We start from the raw sequence: 27,157 nt of genomic DNA, 5'->3' as shown, positions 1-27,157 counted from the left end.
TCCTCGTACGCAAAACTACACCTCCCAGGATTCCGCGAGCCAAGGTTGTGGCCGGGGCCAGGGCAACCGAACTCGCGGCTCTGCGCAGGCGCACAGGCTCCGCGCCGGGCTCGCCCGCCGGGCAGGCGCACGGCGGACACCTGCGAGCCTGGAGGTGGCGGTCGCTGCGAACCCGGCGGCGCGGCCAAACCTGTGCTGGCTGCCTGGGCCTTCTGGGCCTCCTGGGCCAGAAGCTGGCGCTGGGGGCGGCGGCGGGGTGGGAAAGCGGCGCCGCCGTGGGGCCTCCTGGACGCGTCGGCGGAGGTGGCTTCGTCCCGCGGAGTCCAGGCTTCAGGTAAGACGCGCGCGCGCTTGGGGCTGGAGCGGACTCCGACACCCGCCTGGGACTTGAAGTGGAGGTGTCGAACCCTCGGCCCCCTGGAGGGGACGACGCGGTGCTGGGCCCCGGGGTGAGGGGGAGGTTCTAGGACGCCTTCGGGATCCAGGAGAGTTTGCAGAACTGAGGGGTGACGTGTGAAGCGAGCTGAGGGAGGCGCGGGAGGTGGGCGGGGCGGGGGTGGACCCTCAGGGTCGGGGGCCGGGGATTGGGGGTCGGGGGCCGGGGGCCGGGGACCTGGGCAACGCCCTGGGGCTTGCCAGTTCGAGCCCTCAGCTCGTGGCAGGCACTGGCGTCGGGTCCTCAGGCCCTTTTGCTTTGGGAGGTGATGGGTGGTGCACATTTGGCGGGGGTGGTGGGGAGCCACGCGAGGTGCGCGGAGCGGGCCTGGGCCTCCCCAACTGCCTTTGAAGGCAGAACCCCGGCAGGCCTGCAGCTGATTCCTGGGCGCTTTGGGGGCCAGTAGGGCACCTACCATGTGTGTCCGGTGGTAAGAGCTTGCCACGGCCTGCTTGGCAGTGCCAGAGTAGCCTCTGAAGAAGGAACCCAGTGAACTCCTGACTCCATGTGTGTGTTTAGGAACCCGTCTCCAGCTCACTGATGGGAACTCTCTGCTAAAGTATGTGACCGTCAGGCCAGAGTCTTGCACCAGGTGCAGGGCGACCAGTGTCTGCCTACTTTATTGCCAGCCAACACTTAGAGCGTACTCTTGGGAGAAGCAAGGCTCCGCGTGGAAAAGGATGACTTCAGGGTTATGGGGCGAGCTTGATAGGACTTAGTAGCTAAGAGCATAGACAGAGGAGGTTTCATTCACCAAATGTTTACTACAATATGTGCCCCGCCTTCAAATCTTGGTTCTCGGCTACTAGCGGTGTGCGTTTAAGCAAGTCACTTATCCTCTCTTAGCCTCTGTTTCTTTCTCTGTGAAGTGGAGATGAAAGTACAGTGCCTTTATCACGGGGTTGCAGTGGGGATGAAATAGTGCCAGGCAAGTCCTCAGCCCAGTATGTCTAACAGTAAGTGTGTGGCAAATATCAGCAGTCGTGGTGACTAACGACAGAAAGTGTTAGAGGTGCTTGGAGTCCAGGTTCATCTTTAATGGTACTAGCTGCCCTCTCTGGCTCTCATGAATCTTGCAGATCTTCCAGCTCATCCTTTCAATATTAATTTTGAGGAATCTCAGTCCCTGCAGAGCTAGGAAAGAGCATAGGTCCCCTCATCCCCAGGGGTGGTCAGCACGTTCCTTCCTGAGCCTTGGGCCCCTGCGAGAACGAGAAGGAGAGTGGAGATCTTCAGCAGAAAGGAGGGCATGGTGCTGGTGGCTGGGCCCACCGTGGCCATGTAAGCATGCTAGTTGGCAAGTTCTTGCTCTGAGCCTTGCTTTAGAAAATATTTAGCAATAAACAAAGCCTTCTAGTAAATATTGCACTAACTAGAAAATTAGATTACCAAATCCCCCATTCCAAGGGTCCTTGCCAATCTCAGCTTGGTTGTCAGTGGGATACTTTCCCCCCAGGACCTACCAATCACGTGATTCCCAGGGTTTCTTAAATTGGATGAAATAATGAATGTGAAAGGTGGAACCTGCAAATGTCATCACGGGCTTTGGAGTCCGTCTTGGTTTTGAATCCTAACCCCTCTACTTAATTGCTGTGTATCACTGGGCAATTCACTTAATGCCTCTAAGCATACCTTCTTAAATGTGAAATTGAATTAATAGCATTTACTTCAGGTAGTGGGGAATAAATGAGATAATGCGTGTAAAACAGTTAGCACTGTGCCTGGCTGAGAGTGAAAGCCAGTGAACAGGAGTTATTTTACCATTACGATTAATAATAATATTAGAAAAATAATTGTCAGACATGGTGTTTTGCCTTTGCTGTCTCTTTGAATTCACAAAACTACCCTGTGAAGTAGGTATAATTGTGTTTTTCAAGCCAGGAAGTGAAGGCTTGGAGAGGTAAAGAATTGGCCTAAGGTCACTTAGCTGCTAAGTGACAGGGATGGGAATTCATATCCTGGCATCTCCAGCTCCAGAACTGGTGCCATGTAATTCTCCTTCTCTGCTGCCCATCGTCCTTGCTGTTCTTGCATTCTTGAAGCCCAGTTATGACCTGGGGCAGCCTCCAGTCTTGCAGCAGGGAGTCTTCCCGCACCAAGTGGGTCAGAGGCAGGACCCTGCAGCCTGGCTGTGTGTTTCCTCTCTGTGGCTGGTGTTGGATGCATGGTGAAGCTGTAGGGGACAGTCCCTGAGTGAGTTCAGGGGAGGAGGTGTTAGGAAGAGGCAGCCCAGGCAAGCCCTGTCGCCTCTTTAGGGTCTCATCACTGGACAGCAGGGCTGGGTGAGGGGGCAGTGCTGGGTGAGGGTGCAGGCTGGGTGGGATCTGGGAAGCTTGTGTATGAGAAGAAATGCCTTCGTTTAGCTCCTGGGAAATGTTCTGGGGCTGCATAATTCTCTGAGCCTTATCTTTGCTTTGTGAGGGAGAGCAGCCCTTGAGCTGTGGATAAGGGAGGAGAAGGAGCCCTGGACTGAGAGCCAACATTCTGCCATTTTAATCCTGGCTGCCTGTGAGAGCTCACACTGCCTCTCCAGACCTCTTTTATGAAATAAAGAGTTGGAGGAAATCATTTCTAAGGGTTCTTGTAGCTCTAAAGGGCAGTGGTTTTGTAATTCTAAATTGATGGCCTAACCCTCTCAGCACAGTACCAGGGCACATGGGATAAATTATCACACTAGTATGTTACTTAGACTCTCCTTAGGGTGAGAGAATGGCCACAGCTCCCTAAGCCACCTGTCACAGCTGGGTACCCTCTGCCTGGCTGGGTGGGGAGGAATTACAGCAAGAAGCCTTGGGTTGCTAAGTTACAGTCCAGGGCCTGTGGTTCTACATTTCCAGGGCCACCACACCTGCTCTGCCCTTGACTAATAAAAACTCACTGCTCTACAGTCTACTCTGCTTATCTGCCATTGAGTGTTCCTCCAAGTCTGATGACAGATGAGCACGGTACTAAGAACAAGACCTTAGTGAGAGGCAGGTTCAAATCCTGGTGGCCCTTCTTGAGCTTTAAGACCTTAAGCAAGGTACTTAACTCCACTAAAACTTGGTTTTCTCATGTTAAAAGAAAATGGGGATAATATTGGTACTGCATTGGAGGGTGAGGCTTAAATGAAATAGGTCAGGAAAAAGGCTTAAGACAGCGCCTCTCGCATAGTAGGTGCTCAGTAAAGTAAGATGGTGAGACCATTCATCTTTATCCCCTACCCAGAGGCCAACATCCTTTTTTTCTTAGTTAACCTGGACAAGTCCTTTTGTTTTCTCTGGCTTCCCATGTCTGCACTGGTACATACTCCAGCACCTCTAAGAGAATCAGATCTTTCACTCTGCCAGTGGTGACTGCCATTGGTACAAGCTTATGCTACAAATTTATCTGTTTTCTCCATTCTGAAAAGGCTAAGAGAAGGCCCCTTCTTTGCTGTGTAGTTGCTCCTCAGCCCTGAGCTAAGCCTTAGGAAGGGACTGGGGACCTGGTCTGCTGTATTGCCACACCCAGTGATGAAACACACCCCGGGGTCCTTTGACAGTGGAGGTTTGTGGCAGGAATCATGGCACATCCTGGAGTGGCATCTGGAGTTGCCACAGTTGTGCTGGGTCCCAGAGCTTCCAAGAGAGTCACACAGTAGCCATTGTAAGGAACTGGAGATGCTGTCCAAATTTGCTCTGTTCAGGGGCTTCTTTCTCGGGGGACCTACCTCCTCTCTGCTGGCCTGCAGGGATGGCCATCTCCCTATGTCCTCTACTGGTGGCTGCTTTAGACCCAGACTCCATCCTTAGTCCATTTAGCTGTGGCCAAGAGACCTGGACTCGTTTCTTGCCACTCCCACACCACAAATGGTGCACTTTGTGTGGGAAGGAATGGGTTGGGGCAACTTGTCTCAAAAGGGAGCTTAGAGTCTGGCGGACTTCTCAGATTGTCCCAGAGCTTAGGCTTATGCATCATCTTAGCAAAAGGTAGGAACAGAATTTATTTAGCCTTTACTGATACTTATGGGGAGGGTTATTCTCAATTGAATTAGTTGTTTAACCTGGGCTAGATAGAAATGCCTTGCTGAGTATCGCAAAATTGTGAAATGTTAGAAGAACCTCAGAGCAGTTCCCCTCAGTATTGTGCACACGCAAGAATCACCTGGAAGCTTTATTAAGACACAAGTTCCTGGGTCCTCATCTCAGAGAGATTCTGGTTCTGCAGGTCTGAAGTGGGGCCCAGGATTCTGCATTTCTCAGATCCCAGGTGATACTGCTACAACAGGTCCACGGATCCACTGAGTCCTGCTTTGGAAGACACCATGGCCAGCCCTATCCCCGCTGTGGAGTAGTCCACATGGGTTGTTTTTGTTTTTTGCTAGACCACTTCCAGGCAGGGGCTCACTGCCCTACAAAGTAGCTGATTCCTCCATGCTCAAACAGCTCTAGTCTTTAGGAAAGTCTTCCTCCAACTGACCATGCTGAGCTCCACCTCCCCATGACTTCTTTTTGCAGTTCTTACTCTAGGTCCCTGAGCAGCTGGCACAGCTGTGCTGGGCAGGACAGAATGGGAATCATATGTGCCCATAGTCCACACTTGTGCCTAGGGCTTGGGTTGCACGTGTCACCATCATGCATGTGTGTCCAGTCAGGTAGAAGGGGTTGCATCCACTCCTCAGGAGCAGCCTCACTCTTGTGCAGCAACTCAGGTATTTGAAGACACCATGGGTGCAGGGGCTTCTTTTCTCCAGTAAAGTGGCCCTACTCCTTCTAGCATCCTACACAGTATAGGGGTTCTCAGTCCTTCCTCATCCTGGCTGCCCCAAGGTGAGTGTCCCAGAAAGACTCACATAGGGTGGGGTTGTATTAATGACTAATTGTACAGACTCTAATTCCTCACGAAAATGCATAACCTGAACCTAATCATGAGAAAACATCAGACATTGAGGAATATACTAGAAAATAGCTGGCCCTGACTCTTAAAAATTGTCAAGATCATAAGTTGAAGATAGACTGAGAAGCTACCCCAGATCGGAAGGGACTAGAGAGCGGTGATAACTGGATACCATGCTTCATCCTGGACTGGATTCTGGACCAGAAAATAGAAACCATATGTTAATAATAATATCATTGTCATTATAGTATCAATATTCATTTCGTTAATTTTTGTGGTGTGAGAGAATGTTTTCATTCTTAGAAAATACATGCTAAAGTATTGAGTGCTAAAGGGGCCTGATTTCTTCAACTTATTTACAAATGATTCAGAAAAGAGAGAGAATTTGTATACAGTTGCCCTCCTCAGGGAGACTTGTTCCGGGATCCCCCACAGATACCAGAATCCAAGGATGCTCAAGTGCCTGTTATAAAATGGTGTCATTATTTGCATATAACCTACACAATCCTCCTGTATACTTTAAGTCATCTCTAAATTCTTTATAATACCTAATACAATGTAAATGCTATGTAAATAGTTGTTATACTATATTGTTTTTAAATTGATACTTTTTTTGTATTTTTAAGTTTTTTTTGAATATTTTTGATCCACAGTTGGTTGAAGTCACATATGCAGAACCTGCAGATATAGAGGGCTGACTGCATATAGAGAGAATGATTAAACAAAGATGTCAAATTAGCAGTTGGTGAATCTGGGTAAGAGTGTAGGAGAGTTCTTTGTCCTATACATGCAACTTTTTTTGTAAATTTAAAATTATTTCCAGATAAAAAGAAGGAGATCGCAGACCCTGTAGCCAGCCTACCTGGGTTAGTCTTATCATTGCTTCCTCTGTAAACTTGGCTTTCTAACCTTTCTGAGCTTTGATTTTTACCATCTATAAAATAAAGATTATCATTGCAAAGTGAAGAATCTGGCACCTAGTGATTGGCCAGTAGATCTTAGCTATGATAATATCATTATTATTAGGAAAGGGAGGAGTTGAGGGTGACATGGTGGTAATGAGACCAAAGGAAAACTCAGCCTAATTCTGTCACCTCCTTCTGCTTGCTGATGTGGGATCTCAGGGTCCCTGGGTATCTGGCAGGGACCTGGCTGCCATAAAGCGTCACCCTGCAGAAGGCTTTGCAAGTAGTCACCTGAGCCCATAGGGCTCTACTGTTGAAACCCAGGTCTCCTGGCAGCTTTATCTCCTGCCTTCCCTGGCACTTCTGTGCCTGCCCCACAGCCTGGGCTCCCCGACCTTTACCTGTCTGGGTATGCAGTGCCCACTGAACTGCACATGGCTTTGGGCCTGGCCATCACTGCCCATGGCTTGGAGGCCTCATGGTTTGCTGGACATTTGTGAGAACTAGACAGTGATGCTTGCTGCAGACAGATTTGTAGCAGTCATGAGTAATTGGGACATGTAGACACATAACAGAGATGCTCATCTTATCCTCCATCACCACCAAAACACCTCCAAAAACTTGCTCAAAACTCACCCACCCTCCAGCCAGCTTCCCTGGATGATCTCTTGTTGTGCACACTTCCTCGTGTTTCTTTGTGAATGTTTTATGCTTCCTATACTGGGTGTTTTTGGCTCTCTTGATCAGTTCAACCCTCTCAAATTGGGCCTGAGGGTCCATCTGGATTTGTGTACACACTGGGGTCTGAGCATTCCCTGTAAGAATTGTTTTCATTTGATTTTGTAGTTCCACCTAGAAAACCTGGTGTAGGCGTGTTCTCCATTACCTTTGTGAGCCACACAACAGAGGTTCCCACCGTTCTGTTCCCTGTTTCATCCCCGTTTATGACCACACTGGTACACAGTGATGCCAGAGAGGACCAATACAGGCACATGTCACTTCCAGGTGACCCATTTGTGCTAAGCAAAAGCCAGATGACACGGCAGGCTGTGTGGCAAGCAAAGGTTTCTGCGTTATTTGGAGGCTGAAAACCGGTGAGAGGGTTGCATATGAGCTGGTGGAAGGCCGAACGTCCTGCCCCACACTCAAGCCTTGGTTTATCCTCAGCAAAGACTGACATCACCCTTCTCACCAAAGTAGTACAGACTTGAATTCTGTTGGAGTTTTTCCTGCTTTGAAGGGGTTCCTTTTCTATTGATAAGGCAATATAGTCACAGTCATCAGCTATTGATGGTGGATTAATGTCTCCAGCTTTGACTTTGCTTTGCTCTTTATTCTAAAGCAAGAAGATACTACCCATGTCAAAGTTTTAATCTAAGAAAGTGAGCCCTTAACTAAATGTTAAATATGCCTTGATAATTAAATGTGTTAAGTTTTACAAGAACCACTCAGACTGCCAAGATTTTGCCAAAGGATAAATACCTTGGTCAGAAAACCTGATCTATAAATGCCGAATTTATCAATAGCATTAGGTTAATATTTAATTTAGGAGCAAATGTAAGCATTATGTTATTAATACCAGTTCCATATACTACTTCAGATAACCAAAAAAAAAGGAGGGGGAAAGAGATCATTCTGAGGATAAGCTTGAGTTAGTGAAACATGTTTACTCCTTACTAATTTACAACATGTAAGACAACAAATCAATACAGGACTGAAAGCTTCCACAATCTAGCACTAGTACTTCAGGCTGCATTTAGGACAAAAACACTTTTCAGTGACAAAATAAGATTTCTATAATTTTCAATTGGAAGTGTGAACAATCCTTAAAAGTCAAATTGCTGTGAAAGTAAAATATAAAACCTTCTGCACCGTTGCTGACCCCCTCCTGGCCTGGGCCCTGCCTGATCTTCTGCAGCCTGGGTCTGGCAGGTGCTGGCTGTCTGGTCCCTCCACCTCTGTAACCCTTCTTGTGGAGGAGTGACCGGTGAGCTGCTGGTTCTGGCAGTCACAAAACTGGGAACCCGGGCACAGGCCATGGTGAGGCCAGCAGGACAGGGGATTTGCTTTAGACCAGAGCTTGCAAATGAGCATCCGTTTTTAACTGGCAACCATGAGGCCAGCAGCCCCAGGCCTTGGTGCACGTTGTCTTCACTCAATTTGAATAATTGCCAGAAGTTACAAATGAGGACATTTCACATTTTAAATAGATTTTTGCTTCTCTGGGAAAATCAGAAGAGTATTGCTATGGACTGAATCATGTTCCCCCCATTTATATGTTGAAGATCTAACCCCCCTGTGATTGTGTTTAGAGATAGATCATCCTAATAATGAAGCTTAAATGAGGTCATAAGGGTGGGGCCCTAATCTGATAGGACTGGTGTCCTTATAAGAAGAGGAAAAGAGATCAGAGTGTTTCTCTCTCTCCCCACCTCCCTCTCCCGGCTTCCTTTCTCCCTCCCTTTCCCCCTTGCTCACCTGCCCCTCTCCTCCCTCCCCACCACACAGAGAAGAGGCCATCTACAAGCCAGGAAGAGAAGCCTCACCAGAAACCAACCCTGACAGATCTGTGAGAAAATTCTGTCATTTAAGGCACTCAGTCTGGTATTCTGTTATGGGAGCCCAAGCAGACTGATACAGATAGGTACCACCAGGCTGCTTTCCCGCCATTCTCTCATCAGCTGGCATTAGGTGTTCTGTCTCCAGGTCACACAGCCCACCCTCAGCTTTACTTTCTCCATTGGCTCCGGCCCTAGCAGGCATGTGAGTGTGCACCTCCTACTCTGGGCCCAGAATTCCTGGAGCTTTTACTCCTTATCAAACCTTAAAGCCCTTATGGGCTTTTCTGTGCCCGTGTCTGGGGCTGGCCAGGGCCCCCAGAAGTACAGCCTGCACCCAGCACCAATGACCACCCTCACGTGGTGAGCTCCCCAAGGCAAGTGGCCCCACCCCACCTGCCCAGCTGTTACTGGGGTCTGCAGTTGCAACAGCATTTTTGACATTATCCTCTGATGCTCGGAACAGCTGGGATCCTAGAAAGGAGGATTCACTAAGTCTGGGGATCTGATAACATTTAACTGCTCTTGGGAGCTTAGTAAAGTGGTTTGGGGGAGTGAATTGGTAGCTTCCTCCTGTCTGCCTCAGTTTCTAAAGGGATTTTCTAGGCATGTTTTTAATCTCTTGTTGATTTCTTTTTTCTCTTTCTTTTGAAAAAATTTTTGTTTTATCATGCTTTGTCCTGGCTGAGCCACTAAGCCCTTTGTTCCCCACTCCAGTTGGTCTCTAAATTTGGTGCCCAATATAGAGGAGGCAGAGGCAGATAAACATGGTGGTGTTGAAGTACCCTGGTCTGTGTGGCCCTGGAATGCCAAGAAGGTGAGGTCCAAATGGTGCCTGGGCTATTAACATAAGACAGTGCTTAGAATCCATGTTCAGATCCTGCCTCCATTCTGTACATGCTGAGGGACTTGGACACATTTACTTAGCTTCTCCCAGCCTCTGTGTCCCAATCTATAAAATGGAGTAATAGAAATAGTGTTAGCCTCTTAATGTTGGTTTGAAGATTGAATGAGAAAATATACCTACAGTGTTCAGTATACTGCCTGGAACATAAAGTGTTAGAGGCTGGTGATTTTGAGTGTGTTTTTCAAGGTAAGAGTGGGTTCATATTTAATAGTTGTTGGTAATCTGGGAATCAGTTTCAGGTGCCGATTGGATCCTTGGTAGCAGGATGGGATGGGAGGTACAGCACGGGAATCAGCTGCTGGTCCCAGAGCAGTGGAGGGGCCAAAACTCCGCTTAGGGCACGAGTAAGAGGAGTGATAGGAAGAGGCAGCTTTTCCTAGTTTGATTACCTCCGCTTTTCTAAAGGAAAGCAAACAAATAAGGATCAAGGTTGTTGGGTCCCCTTTGAATCCCTTTTGTCTCCTTCAAGAGTTTCACCACTGAGCACTGTGATCACATCCACCCAGCATTCACTCATCTTCCCTTCTCCCTGCCCCATAGCCTGATGACTTTCAGCTGGTCAGCCAGTGGCATTCTCTGGTCATTGTCATGGGTCCAGGAGGGGACTGGGCTGCAAAGTAGGGTGGGATGTGCGTGCCCTTATTTGGGCTCGCTCCTCCCTGATTGAGTTCTCTGAATGTCTGAGGTGTTTCTTTCTCTTCTCTGCCCCTTGCCCCACTTTAATGAAGACTGGATCTTCTGTATCTTGAGGGTGGTTTTCAACACAGTCTTTAGAGTCCAAGAACACTAGGTTAAGACCTAAGCTTCACACCTGTTGTAACCTTGGGCAAGTCACTCAACCTCCTCAACCTCCGGTTCCTCATCTAAAAATAGGGAATAATGATACTTCATAGGGTTGGGGCTAGTACATAGAGGAACGCTTTAGGGCAAGACAGCCGAGAAGCACTGAAGCATGCAGCTGTCCTGGCATGGAGCAGGGGCAAGGCTGGAGGACGCTTTGTTAGGGCACCTGTCATGTCCTTGCCCAAGCAGGAAAAGGGCTGATCTGTTTTTTATTCCTCTGTGTGGAATGGCTCATGTCAAAGACCATCTGTCCTGTACGGATCCCATCTCATTGGAGGCTCTGTAAGCCCAGAGGGCAGTGGGGTCCTTTGCATCAGTGACCATTGGACCTTCATGCCCACCCGCACATCCTAAAGAATCAGCCTCTGTTTTCAGGAAGGCACTAAGTAGAGACAAAATGTATTATCCTGGGAGGCCCATGCCTCCAAGTGCCACCTCTCACCTCCTCATGGCAAGACTCCATCTGGGCAGCCCTTGTCTCTGAGAGGCAGCACAGGTGGACGTGCTTGGTGTTGAATCCTGGACTGTTGACACATGGTTCAGCCTCTGAGCCTCTCTCTGGATGGAAAATGGAGACAAATTGCACCACCCTGCTGAGCAGGGGCAAGGAAGGATTTAGCAAGGCTGTGTATGCGTGTGAGGGACCTAGCATAGCACTGAGACGCAGCAGGAGCTCAACAGGCTGGGGTGCCAGCCAGATCTGACTGCAGACAGGGTGAGCTTGCATGACTGCTCAGAAGTGGGCTCACTGGGAGACAGGATTACGGACAGCAGGTGCAGGAGAGGCACATTCCAGCTCTGCTTTTGTGCTCTCAGAGTAAGTGTACAAAGGAGGGTGGGCTGCTTAAAACTGAGAGGGAGTTCCTTGTCACTGCACAGTCATATTTCTTGTGATGCTGGGATCCTGGCCCCTGCACATTTCAGCAGAGCCAGGAGACAGATGAAGTGGGGCATGGAGGCCTTCAGTCTGAAAGAATTCTTATCCCTTTGTCGCCAGTGCCCTGGGGAGGCAGTTGGTGCACAGACTGCCCTGAACAGTCAGACATTAGGACCAAGCAGACAGTGTCAGTCAGACCAGGCTGCAGTCCTGTGGAAGACAGCGGCTTAGCTCCAAGTCTCTTCAGTCTCTAAGGCCAAGGAGGCCCACCTGGGCTCTCTCACTTCCCTTGCCTCCTTGCTGCTGTTCTGTTGTCAGTGAGACTGGCAGCCTCTCCAGGCTGTGATAGCCCCACAGCAGTGAAAATTGGTCTGGAGAAAGGGGAAATCACTGGGTCTGTTGCCCAGTAAGCAACTTGGCCCAGTTATTCTCCAACATTGTGAATTTTCCTCCTAGAGAATTGTGTGTTTATTATCCAGGAACATTTCGATGTGGTGATGGGGAAAGGCCTCTTTATCTTCTTTAGGGCTGGAGATCCGATTAATGTACTCCTTGCCTCCATCTGTTGTCTTTTGAAAACCTTCCTGAAGATTTTGCATGATCCTTCAGTTTGGCTGGCTTATGCAGGTTGTTGGGAGGAGGGGCAGGTGCCACAGGAGTGTGGGAAATAGACTGACAGTGTTTTGTAGTGACCACTGACTGCCCAATTGCTTGTTGGCTTCCTACTACCACACTTTGGCTACCTAATTCACAGTAGGTAGAAGTGCAAGGGTGGCTTTCCATGTCTCCATAGTGACAAAATACAGTAATATCTATGTTTATTAAGGTTCTCCTCTGGATTCAGGACTAGATCTATTTTTTTTTAAGTCTCCCAGGAGCAGATCCTGAGATCCTAAGACAAGGATTCTTTAACAAGTAGATGATTTGTATTCAGTCCCAATAGACTTGTAAACATGAATGGGGAGTGAGAAAGTGAGAGAGGGAAGGGAAGGCAGCCAAAAAGTATGTGTGTCACGCTTGTTACCAGTGGGTAACCCTGGGACTTAATCCCACTGGGGAACCCTGGGAACCAGTGTAGAACATGTCTCAAAGCTAACCTGCCTGGGGGGTATGGGAGTGGGGTATTCATCAGACAGCGGTGTAGACTGCCTGCTCATAAGTGGTAAAGTTGGTAGAAATCCCCAGGCAATCAGAACTCCAGGACCTATGCTCTATCCACCGTGCTGTTTCTAGCAGAATGTTGCTCTGTCCATCCCCAGCAAAACTTTCTTCCCATTTTCCCCTTGGAAGGGTAACTCAGAAACCTGAAATGCCCAGTGCAGGTCCATGCAGGCCAGTCTGTCCTGCCTTCCATCAACACTATTCTGGCAGGGCCTGAGAGTGGGGATAGGAGGATGGAGTTGGGAGGGGTTAGGGACTAGGGGATTGGGAAGACTTAGCAGCTAATTAGAAGCAGCCCCCACGTCCTCCAGTCTCAAAGGCTGGTCTCTGCTTAGTTGCCAGTTTGCCTCACAAGGCCCCCACCCATATTTCCTGGTTTATGAGCTTTGCCCTAAGGCCCTGATCTCAGTGCTTTGCTGGGATTGGCCACTGCATGTACAGTCAGCCAGGTCCAGATGTGGACCCTAGACTCCTGCCTGCAGCCACTGCCCCATATCCCCACCTGCTGCCAATTCTGCCTAAGAGAGGGGCAGGTGGCAGAATGATCACTAGAGAGATGATGCCTGGTGGCTGAGATGCCCACTCATGTTGGAGGTAAGTCTTTCCTCTCTTCTAGCTGATATTCCCTGGGTTTGTCTGTTTTGGCTTTAGCTTCTGTTGGAAGCTATTCTTTGATCCGGGCAAAATGTGCATCAGCTCATAGGGCATGCATCTGCCTCCCATCTCTCCAGAGAGGGCCTAGTTTTGTTTTTCCTGAATATCGATTTATTTCTTGTTACTCTTCAGAATTCTCTTGTAATTTATAAATAGTGATTTCTTTAATTCTTTACTGTTTCCTTTTTAACTTATTTATTTTGTCAAGTAAACACAAAAGAGTACAAATATATAAAGAACTCCACCATCTTCCACAGTGATCAGTATCCCCCTGTCGGGTTCTGTCTGTCTACTTTGTTTGCTGGAGGATTTTAGAGCAAACCACGTTCATGTCATTTTACATGTCATTAATATTTATAGAGACTCATGTTCTCAGCTGGGTGTGGTGGTTCACATGTGTAATTCCAACACTTTGGGAGGTTGAGGCAGGAGGATTGCTTGAGGACAAGAGTTCAATACCAGCCTAGGCAACATGGCCAGACCCCTTTCTCTACAAAAAATTTAAAAATTAGCCAGGCTGGTGGCCCGTGCCCATACTCCTAGCTATTTGGGAGGCTGAGATGGGAGGATCGCCTGAGCCCAGGAATTTGAGGTTGCAGTGAGCTGGTATCATGCCACTGTACTGTAGCCTGGGCAAGGCCACAGTGAGACCCTGTCTCAAAAAAACAAAACAAAACAAAAACTCATGTTTCTTATCTAATTTATTTTAAAAATAGATAATTTAAAATAACTTTTTTATTTTGAATACATTTTAGACTTACAAAAAAGTTACATAAACCATTTCTCCCCACTTCCCCTACTAATAACATCTTACAGAGCACAATGTAATGATCAAAACCAGGAAATTCACACAACACATTAAACTGCAGACCTTATTCAAAATCATCCCACTAATATTCCCTTTCTGGTCCAGGACGCAAACCAGAATCCCACACTGCATTAAGTTGCTGTGTCTCTTTAGTCTCCTCCGATCTGAGGCAGCTCCTCCATCTTCCCTTGTCTTTTATGACCTTAGCCCTGTCAAGTACTGGCCAGGTATTTGGTAGAACATCCCTTAAATTGGGTTTAAGATTTTCTCTATTAGCTAACCTACAGACCTTATTCAGAGCTAGAACTGGAGCGAGAATCACGAATCCCCATTTAGAAATGTAGATTGAAGTTACGCATTTTGGGCAAGAAAACCACAGAAGTGAGGTCTTGTCTCAGTGCATCATATAAAGGGGTACATTACGTCAATAGGTTATTACAGGTGATGTTAATTTTGATTACTTGGTTCAGGGCATGTCTGCCAGGCTTCTCTACTGTAGTTTCTATTTTTACCTTTGTAATTAATATGCACCTCATGGGAAGAATCTTTGAGACTATGCAAATATCCTCTCATCATACTTTTTCACCCACTAATTTTAGTATCTATCAGCAGATCTTGCCTGCAACAGTTATTACTGTGATGTTTGCCAAATGGTGATCTATTTCCATGATTGCTTCTACATTTTTTAATTGGAATTCTCTAAGGAAGAGCTGTCCTTTCTCTCCTAATTATTTATTCATATCAATATTGACTCATGGATATTTTATTCTATGGGTTATAATTCATTACTATTACTTTTTAATTTTGGTACTAAAATTATCCAAGATTTAGCTGTTGGGAGCTCTTTCATGCTGGCTCCTGTGCCTTTTCACTGTCTCCCCATCATTTTTTTTTTAATACTTTTACATTCTGGCACTACAAAATGTTCCAAGCTTGTCTTGTACTTTCCCTGCCCTAGCCCTGGAATAAACCATTTCTCCAAGGAGCTCTGGTTCCTTTTTGTAGAGAAAGATTTTTAGAAACACAGATCTGGGTGCTGGGTATACTGATTGCTACTGCACTGTCATTGCTTCCAGGCCCTCTTGGTGAACTGAACTAGGAACGCCTATAATTCCAACCATTTCCTTAGCTATGACAGTTATCACTAGATACTTTGTGGGAGGAGAATCAGTGTCTGAAATTAGCACCTTGATATTTTGTGTATACAAAAAGTGTTTGAACTGTGCTTGACATAGTTCCTCTTACAACTGCCAGTCCAGTCATTCCTTTAGGGTAAACACTCACAAATATTCCCACTGTTCCTCCTGCTCATGTTCCTCCCTGGTGCCTTCCTCCCTGCCACCCCAGTGTGAGTTCCTCTTCAGTTCCCTGGTCTAGATCTGAGCTGAGGATCTCAGGGTGGTCTCCCTTCCACCCCCTGGTAAGACAGTCTCTCCTTGCTGTCTTTCCATTCTCTTTTTAAACCTTTTGTCCCTTTTCTTATTTTATCCTTTTTTTTTCCTTCTCCTAACCTCAAATGTCAATGAACTCTCCCTCTTTCTGGTTTCTTTCTAGCTCCTGGCTTCTCTTCTTTCCTCCTAGAGATCAGATGTCGGAACTCCAGCTGAGGGCATGTCTTACTGGGCACGCAGGTGTCCTCTCTTGAGAAGAACTGTCCATACCATGGTGGTGGTAAGGTTAGTTGGTTCTTATGGCAGGACCATGGGACACTGGTCAAAAATGGTCATATCAGCACTTTAATGTAGTTCAGCACAGTAGTTCTTAGTTGGTGGGGTTGTATGGAGAATGTCCAGTTGGGGGCATGCCTATTTGAAAGAGCATGGCAGTGATATAATTTTACATTGAAAAGTAAAATATATAGATAGATGTTGATATAAAATACCGATTTCAGAAAGTAAAGGTTGATAGAATCCACTGGTCTTGAGGAGCAGACTTTGCAGAAGAGAGTCTTATGAATGAGGGAGAAGGGGATACTGAACTTTACAGGTCAGTTTGGGGCATGAGAGAGTTTCTCTTTATTATCAATGGGTGTATGGGTTGGAAAAGACTGAGGAAACACTGAGTTTAATTAGATTTCTCAGCTGCAGGATTTCTAGGCTCACAGGGACACTCCCCTAGAGATGAACAAGGCTGACTGGAGGTGATGTTAAAACCCAGCTAAGAAGGCAGCCACAGACCTCTGGCCTCTCACCTGTGGCTGGCCCAGAAGTTCTCAGCCCGTGTTCCACAAGAGCCTTGAAGACCTGAATGAAGGACATGAAGTCAGGGCCCCACTATATTCTCCTTTCTGCAGGGCCCTCAACATAGCTGTGACTTTATCCTCTTCTCTCACCACCAAGAAGGCCCATTAAGATGTGAATGAGTGGAAGTTTTATTAAAGGATGAGCTTTGAGTTCATCAGAATTTATTTAAATTTAAATCATCTGCAGACTTTGGGACTCGAATTGCCATCAGGAACATGCTCCTGTGCCCACTTCATGCAGAGTGTGACCCACCAGCTTCCTCTGTGCGCTCCCTTCTAGGCCCCCCATTCTAACACTCAGGCTCTCCTCTCCTGTATTAAATGGGGAGACTCTGAGCTTGGGAGCTCCTAACTGGTTTTTCTACCTCTGTTCTCCCAGAGAACCTCCAGGCTGCTCTGCTCCAAGACCTATAATAGCTCCCTATTGCCTAGAAGATACAGTTCAAACTCCTTGATCTGGCATCACACCCTCAGCTGATTTTTCTAAGTTTCTCTCTACTTCTCCTTGTGAACCATCCATTCCAACCAGACTGGATTGTGTGGTGTCCTTGGGTCACATTCCCTGGACTGCCTCCTAGCCCCTGCCTTTGTACTGTTCAGATATCACATCTCTGTCCCTCTGAAAGCTCCAGGAAACAGCCACGCCAGAGGACTTGTTTGCTCCTCAGGAGGGGTCTGGTACTTCCTGCCTGCAGGGCTCACTGAAGCCCACCTTCTGCCCGTGCTGTGACACTTTGGTGGCCTTAGTTCTCGTTCCCTACTGGCAGGTGTCACCTGTATAGAAAATTGTCGCAGATCCTCTATTTGATTGTTTTCATGTCTCATGAAAAGGTTTCTTAGGGAGGGGGCTTCATTTACCCAAGTTATAGAAGAGTCCAGGGGAAACTGATGCCAAATAATCCCCCTAAGCTAGAGCACAGAGCTCAGAAACAGGAGATGCAGCCAGACCCTGCATGTTTGCCTCATGCATGACACTTTGCAAACAAGTTCTCCCTCCATACCAGTTGGAATGTTCTGGCTGTGGGAAGCCAAAATCCCAACCCAACCTGGCTTCAGCAATGAGGAGTTACCATTTCTCACAGCAGGATGTCCAGAGATGGGGCTTGGAGATGTCACCAGGGTCGTCTGTATCTCTTTGGCCATGCCGTCCTAGGCACTGTCTTTGCCTCAAGCTGGTTTCCGCATGGTCAGCAGATGGCAGCCAGCAGCCTTAGGACAACACCTTCTTTTTCTGTCCAGTGGGTAGGAACATGGCATGCGACACCTCATTCCTCAGCTGAATTGGTCCCACTCAGGTAACTTTGCCACGGCTGGGCCAGTAACTGGCCCAAGAAGTAGGCTCTGCTGACAGTCCACCTGAGGTGCAAGGTCTGAGCTTCTCTGAGCCTCGTGGGTGTCAGCAGGAGGGTGGCTTTCTGGGCACACTAGGGATGTTGTTAGGAAAAGGAAGAGGGCAGTGGCTGCTGGGGGAAGCAACAGTGTCCATTATGTCGTCTGTCAGTACACTCGACCTGGACGCCCAAGAAGCAGAGGGTTGGCGACTGACCAGGCCCAAGGTGCCACCAATGACATAGTGACAGCGTTCACTGTCTGGTCTGTCTCCATCTTCTTTGGAAGGAATCTTCTCCTGCTTAGCTATAAAATCCTTTGTTTCAAATGACTGTGATGAAAAGTGACAGTGCCTGCCTCACCACTGATCAGTTTTTGCTTTGAGTCAGATGAAGGCAGCCACGTATGTCCAAAATGTTTTAAAATGCCAATGTTTTGTCTATATCCCAGTGGCCCTTTATTAGCTATCTGGTGCCTTAAAACCTTTTTATTTTCAGCTCCACTATATACTGCACATGTTAGGTTGAACCTGATGGAATGAAATTGTGGTTCTTATAAGTCAAAAGTGGTTGAGTATCACCATTCACAAAATTCAACTATACATCATTTCTTACCTCCACATTCCTGTGAGGTGGGTACTGTACCCCCATTTTCATTGATGAGGAGCCTGAGTTTAGAAAGGACATGCAGTAGGTCGAGGAGCTGGGGTTTGAACCCAAGTCTTTCTGTCTTTTTATCCTCAAACTTATCCAGACAGTGCATATCCTCTTCTGGGAGCTACCTGCAACCAGTAATGCATTGGAAACTGAGAGCCAGGCTGGTTTGGGAGATGATGTGATAGCTACTGATTGATCAGTGATACCTTTAAAGGTGTCTCCAGAAGAGCCAATCCACAAGTCAAACTAATGTATGGAGTTGGCTTCCCGAGACTGAGGTGTTCTGACCGTCCTAGATAGAAGTTCCCCACCCCTCAGGAGGGTTCAAGCAGCTCATCCATATCAGACTGGTCTGGGCCGTGGAGCTAGGCAGGTGGATGGCGAAGTGGAGTCCTAACTTCATGAGAACCTGAACACAGAAGCTGCACAGCTGGGCCTGCTGGTGACCTGCTGGTCTCCCTAGTCATCCCCACTGGGAGGCAGTGCTGCAGCAGGTGTGTTCTAGAACACTTCCATTCTTTTTCCTGATTTGCTGTGTGACATTGGGCAAATTGCTTCTCTGCGTAAAATGAGGACTTGCTTAGTGGTTGTTAACCTTTGTAGCAGTGGAATTCCTTCTTAAGAGCACAGAACCCCTTTTTCAAATGAATTCTTATGGTCCCTATATTAGTTTTCTAGAGCTGCTGCAACAAATTAGCACACATTTAGTGGCTTAAAATGAAAGAAATTTATTCTCTCCCAGTTCTAGAAGCCAGAAGTCTAAGATTGAGGTGTCAGCAGGGCCATGCTCCCTCTGAAGGCTCTAGGGGAGAATCCTTCCTTTCTTCTATTTTGCTTCTAATGGTTTTGGTCATCCGGGCTGGCTCTTTGGCTTATAACTACATCACTCCAGTCTCGTCTTCATCTTCACATGGCCTTCTGTTTCTCCGTGTGTCCTTTTCTGTCTCTTTTAAGGGTAGTCACATTGGATTTATGACCCATCCTCATCCAGTATGATCTCATTTCAAGATTCTTATCTAATTGTCTGTGCAAAGAGCCTTTTTCCAAATAAGGTCATCTTCTAAGGTTCTGGGTAGACATGATTGCCTGAGTGGGAGTCACCTCTCCTTTCTCCCTTCTGAGAACAAAAAATGAAGCCACTCCTTTGTATCCTGGCTTAGCTGGGCTTATGTTTATTGCTGGCATCCTGCTTCATAGTTTATTGCTAAACAGGTGAGAAGCCCAGGTCAGCGTGATGCTTTATCTGATCATCCAGGCACCCAGGAGCCAGAGAGGCATAGCAGCATGTCCAGTGTCACAGAGCAAAGTGATAGACCTGATCTGAAGTTCTGCAGGGTTCCTGCTGCAACGTTTGGCCCTTTGTCTTTCCCCCATAGTACGTGATAGGGAAGAGTCACATGCATGGCATACTCCTATGGGCATACAGGTGTTGTTGAAACCCAAAAGATATTTTGCAGTGAAGTAAAGCAGAACAGTAACTCATACTAGCTGTTGCTATTAATAAGGCATAACTAACATGTAGGCTGCTCACTGCTGCCCACAGCTTAGGCAGTGGGGTTGTGGGTTCTTGTGCAAGCTAAATGGTGATCCTCATCTTCCTGACTCAAGATGTATCAGAAAGCAACTGAGTGATGGTGATGTGATTATAAGGATGACATTGAGCCTACTCTAATTTATATACAGAAGAAATAAGAAAACATTTCCAAGCTTTTAAACTGATAAGTGGTAATGTGATTCATGGCCTGCTTCTTTGGTTAAGAGCTACTTGGTTTTCCTCAAACCTGTTTGTACCCCAGAATCACCTGGGAGCTTGGTTAAAAAAAAGCAGGATGCCAAGGATACCTCAGGTTCTGGTCAAAATAGAGTAGACAAATTTATCCCTATCCCTTTTACTAATATAGCTAAAAATACTGGACATTATATATAAAACATTGGAAGACTGAAAGGTGGAGAAAAGAGTGAACCAGCTGGGGATCCTGGAACTCACAGAACAACATAATGGTGAGTTCTCTGGGTTTTCTTCTTGCCTCCTATATATTCTACCGTGGTGCTAGAGAAGCCCACAATCCAGGAATGCCAGTGAGCACAGAACAAAACAAAGCCCCAAGGAAGCTTGGTCTCTTTTGTCAAAGGACTGGAAGAAGGAACAGTTTAGCAAAACTTTTTTTTTTTTGCTGTAAATACCCCATTCCTGCAAAACACCAGGGAAAATTTCCTCCTCCTCCACCCCTCAGTTTTAGTAAAGGCCAGATGGATAGCGTATTAGTCCGTTTTCATGCCGATAAAGACATACCCAAGACTGGGCAATTCACAAAAGAAAGAGGTTTATTGGACTTACAGTTCCACATGGCTGGGGAGGCCTCACAATCATGGGAGAGGGCAAGAAGGAACAAGGCACATCTTACGTGAATGGCAGCAGGCAAAGAGAGAGCTTGTGCAAAGAAACTCCTGTTTTTAAAACTATCAGATCTAGTGAGACCCATTCACTATCACGAGAACAGCACAGGAAAGAACCCCCCCCAACCCAAGATGCAGTCATCTCACACCAGGTCCTTCCCACAACATGTGGGAATTATGGGAGCTACAAGATGAGATTTGGATGGGGACACAGAGCCAAACCATATCAGATAGCCTAGACTTCCACCTTTGCCTAGGGGTAACCAGCTGCCCCACACCCTCCCCACTTGATGGGAAGCCTAGACTTTCACGACCGCCTAGTAGTAACATACGTCCTTCACTACCATAGTCCTCTTGGGGCCTAGACTTCCATCCACACCCCAGGGTGTCATTGGAGGCCAACTGCAGAGCCTGGGTTTTGACACCCTGACACACACTCTGTGCTGAGTATCCCTCCCCCTCCCAGCCACGATGGTATTGGTGGAGGCTGAGTAGGGAGCCTGGATGCCCACCCCCGCCCAACAGTAAAGAGTCAATGCTCTCCTTTCCCCCACCAGTACAGTTTTAACAGAAGCTACTAAAATAGAAGATTTAAGTAAGATCCAGAGTATCATAACATTATGACCGAAATGTCCAGGATAAGTTTTAGCAAAAAAAAAGAAGTTATAAAAACTAAATGGAAATTTTAGATATGAAAAATAGAGTAAGCAGAATTTTAAAATTACTGAATGGGCTCAATCAGGAATAAAAAGGACACAGGAAAGAATCAGCGAACATGAAGCCAGAATGATAGAAATCATCCAGTCTGAACAACAGGGAGAAAAAATACCGGAAAAAAATTAACAGAGCTTCAGAGATCTGTGGGACAGTACAATTTTTTTTTTTTTTTTTGAGACGGAGTCTCGCTCTGTCTGTCACCCAGGCTGGAGTGCAGTGGTGCGATCTCGGCTCACTGCAAGCTCCACCTCCTGGGTTCATGCCATTCTCCTGCCTCAGTCTCCCGAGTAGCTGGGACTACAGGCGCCCGCCACCATGCCTGGCTAATTTTTTGTATTTTTAGTAGACATGGGGTTTCACCATGTTAGCCAGGGTGGTCTCGAACTCCTGACCTCGTGATCCACCCGCCTTGGCCTCCCAAAGTGCTGGGATTACAGGTGTGAACCACCGCCCCTGGCCAATACAATTTTTTTTTTTTAATCTAGCATTGGTGTAATTGGAGTCCTAGGAGAGCAGTGTGGGGCTGAAAAAGTTTTCAAGGAAATAATGGCTATTTCCCACATTTGGGGGAAGGCATGAGCCTACAGATTCAAGAATCTGAGCAAACCCCAAAGAGGATAAACCCAAAGAAACCCACACCAAGGCACCTCAGAGTCAAACTTTTGAAAACTCAACAAAATCTTAAGAGCAGCAGGAGACAATGCATTCCCTCCAGGGAAAAACAATTCGAAGGGTAGCAGTTCCTCATCAGCAGTCACAGAGGCCAGAGGAGGTGTCACAGCATCATTTTTCACATACTGAAAGAAGGAAAATCTGTACCCCAAATTCTATACGCAGTGAAAATATCCTTTAGGAATGAAGCTAAAATCAGACATTTCGACATGAAGGAAAACTAAGAGAATTTGTTGCCAGGAAGTTGACCTTAAAAGAATAGTGAACTAACAGAAGTTCTTCAAAGAAGGGATATAGGAATGGAAGGAAACCTGGAACATCAGGAATGAGGGACGAACATAAAGAGTAAAAATATGGGTGAATATAATAGATGATCCTTTCCCTCTTGAGGAAATCATACTTGACAGTTGAAGCCAAAATTACTGTCTGATGTGGGTCTCATTATATGTAGAGGAAACACATAAGACAATTATAAAGGAACCTAGGTGGAGGTAAAGTTTCTACACTTATTCGAAACGTAAAATGTCAATACCAGTAGACTGTGATAAGTTACAGATTATAGTATGATGCCTAGAGCAACCACTAGAAAATCTATATCAAGGGATATACTCAAAAACACTACTGATAAATCAAAGTGGAATTCAAGTAATTCACAAGAAGGCAGGAAATAAAAGAAACAAATAATGCAGATGCCTGAGCCATACTCCAGACCTACTGAATCAGAACCTCCAGGACTGGTGCCTGGGAATATGGATTTTTATTTAGCAACTACTCCTGAGGATTCCAGTAATCAGCCAGGCTTGAGAACATCTGGAGTAGACCAGTATTTTTTAAACAGTAAGTTGCCAACCTGGTGAGTAGGTCGGAAAGTTAATTAAGATGATTATGGGCAGGTTTTTTGTTTTGTTTTGTTTCTGTTGTTGTTAATGAACTTAGAATACAGTGTACTAGAAAAAAAAAGCTAGAATGTATGATACTTGGTCACGGTAATTTTCATTTCCTGAAGTTTGGAGGTGGGGAGTATATGATATATTCATATGTGTGGGCCCAACCTTTGGATAAGAGTAGGCCAGAAGAGATCTCATGCCTCCAGGAATGACCTTCAACTAAGTAATGCCCAACAGGAGTTGATAGACATGTATCCCAGCTTCCATACTATATCCAGCATATGATCATGGGAGGAAGGCTACACATGGCATTAACTGCTCATTAATGTACCCTGTATGTGTTGGCTTTGGTCCCTTCTCTGTTCTCACTTTCCCATTCCCCTACACGTGTTTCATGGGATAATTTCTCAAACTGTTTTGATTCAAATCCTTGCCCCTGACTCTACTTCTTAGGGAACCTAGCTAAAGACACCTTCTCTTTCTAGGCAAGATGCACTTGGATTCTTTTCATTGCAGGGAGGCAGGAATTGCATCAGGACCTAGCCACAAGGGAATAAAGGAGCAGCTACTCCCTCCCGGTGCAGTGCCCTGCAGGTGTCAGCTGTTACCTGTGCTGCTCCTGTGTCACAAAGGATGAGCTTCTTCAACTGTCTGAATAATCCTGGGTCCCAGAGCAGGCATGATACCCTTCACAATATCGCAAGAAGAGGGAGTAAATGCTTACCCCTAGCCAGGCCTCTCTGTCAGTGTGTGTATATGGGAGAGGGCATTTAAAACCCTATTGGTTTTTTTTGCCTCAGTACACAAAACATTTTTCAATGATGATACCCAGATACAATTATCTTACCACTGAGGGGACAAGTTTCTACCCTCCTCCTAAGGGATTCTGAAAGCCAGCAGGCATGATTTCTAAAGGAGCTTTAAGCAGGAGCAAAGCTTAGCTGACCATACGTGTGTGTGTCTCTCAAAGGCGGCATACTGGGGTCTTGGTGTGCAACCTGGGAACAGTGTTCACAGATCTCCAATGCCAGTTGTTCTCATTTAAGGAAAAGTCATTACCCAGAGTCCAGGAATGTCAGGCCCCTGCAAGGGATTTTCCTATGGCCTGTCTTTCCTATGGCCTCTCTTTGTTAGCTTTTGCTGCAGCAGTGCTTCATCACAAACAGCCCCAGAATTTCAGGGATGTTTAATCAGCTGTTGCTCAGCCCTGATGTCTATGTGTTGGCTGATCTTGGCTGCGTTTGGCTGATCGCACTGCTGCTCTTGGCTGGGCCCACTCAGTCATGAGGGATCAGCTGAACTAGAACAGGGCATGGCCGGAGCAGTTCTGCTTCATGCGTATCTCGCTCCTCTTGGGGCCAGCAAGTTAGCCTGAATACATTCTTCTTATGGCAGTGTCATAAAGAGGGCAAGGCCAGCCCAAACACTTTCCAAACCTTTGATTATGTTCTGTCTGCTGACATCTCACTGGCCAAAGCAAGTTAAATGGCTAAGCCCAAAGTCGGGTGTGGGGATGCACTTTCCAACATGGAGGCGATGGGGAGGGAGAGAATATTTTAAACAATGGTCTAATCTACCACGCCTACCAATGTGCACAATGGCTGCAAGGATCCAGTGCTGTAGCGGGCACACAGAGCCTAGCTACCGTGCCTGGCACATAGCAGGAGCTTGTAATGATGCCAGGAAGACTGCCAATTCCTTTTTCTTTTCCTTCTCTCCTCCTGCAGGCTTTCACCAGTTCTCAGGATGCCCATAGGGATGGGTGAAGCCTGCCTGGCCTGTGGTGCTTCCCAGTGGCCGTCATCTCATTAGGGCCCCACAGTGGCATTAGGATGCACCTCTCGGCGGTGTTCAACGCCCTCCTGGTGTCGGTGCTGGCAGCGGTCCTGTGGAAGCATGTGCGGCTGCGTGAGCATGCAGCCACACTGGAGGAGGAGCTGGCCCTCAGCCGACAGGCCACAGAGCCAGCCCCAGCACTGAGGATCGACTACCCGAAGGCACTGCAGATCCTGATGGAGGGCGGCACACACATGGTGTGCACGGGCCGCACGCACACAGACCGCATCTGCCGCTTCAAGTGGCTCTGCTACTCCAACGAGGCTGAGGAGTTCATCTTCTTCCATGGCAACACCTCTGTCATGCTGCCCAACCTGGGCTCCCGGCGCTTCCAGCCAGCCCTGCTCGACCTATCCACCGTGGAGGACCACAACACTCAGTACTTCAACTTCGTGGAGCTGCCTGCTGCTGCCCTGCGCTTCATGCCCAAGCCGGTGTTCGTGCCAGACGTGGCCCTCATCGCCAACCGCTTCAACCCCGACAACCTCATGCACGTCTTTCATGACGACCTGCTGCCACTCTTCTACACCCTGCGGCAGTTTCCCGGCCTGGCCCACGAGGCACGGCTCTTCTTCATGGAGGGCTGGGGCGAGGGTGCACACTTCGACCTCTACAAGCTGCTCAGCCCCAAGCAGCCTCTCCTGCGGGCACAGCTGAAGACCCTGGGCCGGCTGCTGTGCTTCTCCCATGCTTTTGTGGGCCTCTCCAAGATCACTACCTGGTACCAGTATGGCTTTGTGCAGCCCCAGGGCCCGAAGGCCAACATCCTCGTCTCAGGCAATGAGATCCGGCAGTTTGCACGGTTCATGACAGAAAAGCTGAACGTGAGCCACACAGGAGTCCCCCTAGGCGAGGAGTACATTCTGGTCTTTAGCCGAACCCAGAACAGACTCATTCTGAATGAGGCAGAGCTGCTGCTGGCACTGGCCCAGGAGTTCCAGATGAAGACAGTGACAGTGTCCCTGGAGGACCACACCTTTGCTGATGTCGTGCGGCTGGTCAGCAATGCCTCCATGCTGGTCAGCATGCATGGGGCCCAGCTGGTCACCACCCTCTTCCTGCCCCGTGGGGCAACTGTGGTAGAGCTCTTCCCATATGCTGTCAATCCCGACCACTACACTCCCTATAAGACGCTGGCCATGCTGCCTGGCATGGACCTCCAGTATGTAGCCTGGCGGAACATGATGCCAGAGAACACAGTCACACACCCTGAGCGGCCCTGGGATCAGGGGGGCATCACCCATCTGGACCGGGCTGAGCAAGCCCGTATCCTGCAAAGCCGTGAGGTCCCACGGCATCTCTGTTGCCGGAACCCCGAGTGGCTCTTCCGAATCTACCAGGACACCAAGGTGGACATCCCGTCCCTCATTCAAACCATACGGCGCGTGGTGAAGGGCCGGCCAGGACCACGGAAGCAGAAGTGGACAGTCGGCCTATATCCAGGCAAGGTGCGGGAGGCACGGTGCCAGGCGTCAGTGCATGGCGCCTCCGAGGCCCGCCTCACTGTCTCCTGGCAGATCCCATGGAACCTTAAATACCTGAAGGTGAGGGAGGTGAAGTACGAGGTGTGGCTGCAGGAGCAGGGGGAGAACACCTACGTGCCTTACATCCTGGCTCTGCAGAACCACACCTTCACTGAGAACATCAAGCCCTTCACCACCTACCTGGTGTGGGTCCGCTGCATCTTCAACAAGATCCTCCTGGGACCCTTTGCAGATGTGCTGGTGTGCAACACGTAGCGAGCAGGCCACAGCCTGGCCTCGGGAAGGTGGCTCCTGCAGTTCAGCGTCCCTGGGCCCATTAATCCCACTGTGGAGACTTCTGGGAACTATTTATTGAGCAGGCCTGTGCCTCCACATCATCTTGTTGTCTCTGGGGTGTGGTGTCACAGCACTCCTCTTTGCCCTAGAGATAAGGGACCTGACTTCCCCTTCTCCCATCCTGAACATTTGTACCCCTGGAGAAGTTCCTTAGCAGGGAGGAGGAAGAGGAGAGGAGGAAGCAAAGAATCACAAGGAACCTCTGGCTAGGTGATCCTGATGTTTCCTACTGAGTTTTTCTGGTATCCAGATTTCTGGAAACCGAGTAATCATGTACTGTTTGATTGGGTGGTTCATCTGCTTCCATCCCAGTGAAATTTACCTGTAGCCCAGTGAAGGGTGTGTTTGGAACATTCATTAAATGATTCTAAGCATCTTGGTCAAGTCTTCTTATTGGATGGGAGGAAGGGGAGCTGGTCGTCAAAACCCAGGTGCCCTTTAATCTTGATTGTTAGCTAGGGAGACGTGGCAATGGGAAAGCGCCCAGGATGGCAAAGTGAGCAAGCTGGTTGGATTTCATCTTGACTAGCTGGACTAATATCACAGTTCCACCTACATGGGATAAAAGCCTAGAAGTAGGTAGGAGAGGGCTGAG

At 47.8% G+C, this 27,157-nt stretch overlaps 1 protein-coding gene and 1 long non-coding RNA gene across 5 annotated transcripts, besides 5 other annotated features; one reads left to right on the top strand and one right to left on the bottom strand.

The window, feature by feature from the left end:
* Positions 4 to 323: a silencer, noted in NCBI's record as "silent region_14253". NCBI's record gives its function as "represses an Ori minimal core promoter by ATAC-STARR-seq in GM12878 lymphoblastoid cells {active_cell/tissue: GM12878}" and the evidence as "EXISTENCE:reporter gene assay evidence [ECO:0000049][PMID:35858748]".
* On the top strand, positions 91 to 26,936 carry POMGNT2 (protein O-linked mannose N-acetylglucosaminyltransferase 2 (beta 1,4-)). Of its 4 annotated transcripts, XM_017007353.2 has the most exons (4): positions 91 to 334; positions 15,561 to 15,682; positions 20,135 to 20,234; positions 24,634 to 26,936. In XM_017007353.2, the coding sequence occupies exon 4, from the start codon at positions 24,739 to 24,741 to the stop codon at positions 26,479 to 26,481; it is 1,743 nt and encodes a 580-aa protein (XP_016862842.1). In that variant the 5' UTR covers positions 91 to 334; positions 15,561 to 15,682; positions 20,135 to 20,234; positions 24,634 to 24,738; the 3' UTR covers positions 26,482 to 26,936. The 4 variants fall into 4 exon arrangements, with proteins under 4 accessions (XP_016862842.1, XP_011532465.1, NP_001424214.1 ...); XM_011534163.3 differs by lacking the exon at positions 20,135 to 20,234 and having other exon boundaries at positions 15,561 to 15,677; NM_001437285.1 differs by lacking the exon at positions 20,135 to 20,234.
* Positions 7,693 to 8,193: an enhancer, noted in NCBI's record as "H3K4me1 hESC enhancer chr3:43139469-43139969 (GRCh37/hg19 assembly coordinates)". NCBI's record gives its function as "activates a minimal SCP1, AML or CMV promoter by ChIP-STARR-seq in primed H9 embryonic stem cells {active_cell/tissue: H9 hESC(primed)}" and the evidence as "EXISTENCE:reporter gene assay evidence [ECO:0000049][PMID:30033119]".
* Positions 8,194 to 8,694: an enhancer, noted in NCBI's record as "H3K4me1 hESC enhancer chr3:43138968-43139468 (GRCh37/hg19 assembly coordinates)". NCBI's record gives its function as "activates a minimal SCP1, AML or CMV promoter by ChIP-STARR-seq in primed H9 embryonic stem cells {active_cell/tissue: H9 hESC(primed)}" and the evidence as "EXISTENCE:reporter gene assay evidence [ECO:0000049][PMID:30033119]".
* Positions 13,882 to 20,136, bottom strand: POMGNT2-AS1 (POMGNT2 antisense RNA 1). The gene is made up of 2 exons (XR_007095896.1): positions 18,440 to 20,136; positions 13,882 to 18,358 (listed from the first exon to the last, which is right to left on the bottom strand). It is a non-coding gene; the product is annotated as a POMGNT2 antisense RNA 1 (long non-coding RNA).
* Positions 25,542 to 26,041: an enhancer, noted in NCBI's record as "H3K4me1 hESC enhancer chr3:43121621-43122120 (GRCh37/hg19 assembly coordinates)". NCBI's record gives its function as "activates a minimal SCP1, AML or CMV promoter by ChIP-STARR-seq in primed H9 embryonic stem cells {active_cell/tissue: H9 hESC(primed)}" and the evidence as "EXISTENCE:reporter gene assay evidence [ECO:0000049][PMID:30033119]".
* Positions 26,042 to 26,543: an enhancer, noted in NCBI's record as "H3K4me1 hESC enhancer chr3:43121119-43121620 (GRCh37/hg19 assembly coordinates)". NCBI's record gives its function as "activates a minimal SCP1, AML or CMV promoter by ChIP-STARR-seq in primed H9 embryonic stem cells {active_cell/tissue: H9 hESC(primed)}" and the evidence as "EXISTENCE:reporter gene assay evidence [ECO:0000049][PMID:30033119]".

This window comes from Homo sapiens, chromosome 3 (assembly GCF_000001405.40).
Source record: "Homo sapiens chromosome 3, GRCh38.p14 Primary Assembly".
Lineage (NCBI taxonomy): Eukaryota > Metazoa > Chordata > Mammalia > Primates > Hominidae > Homo > Homo sapiens.
Note: the sequence above shows the minus strand (reverse complement) of the source record. Positions and strands in the feature narration are given on the sequence as shown.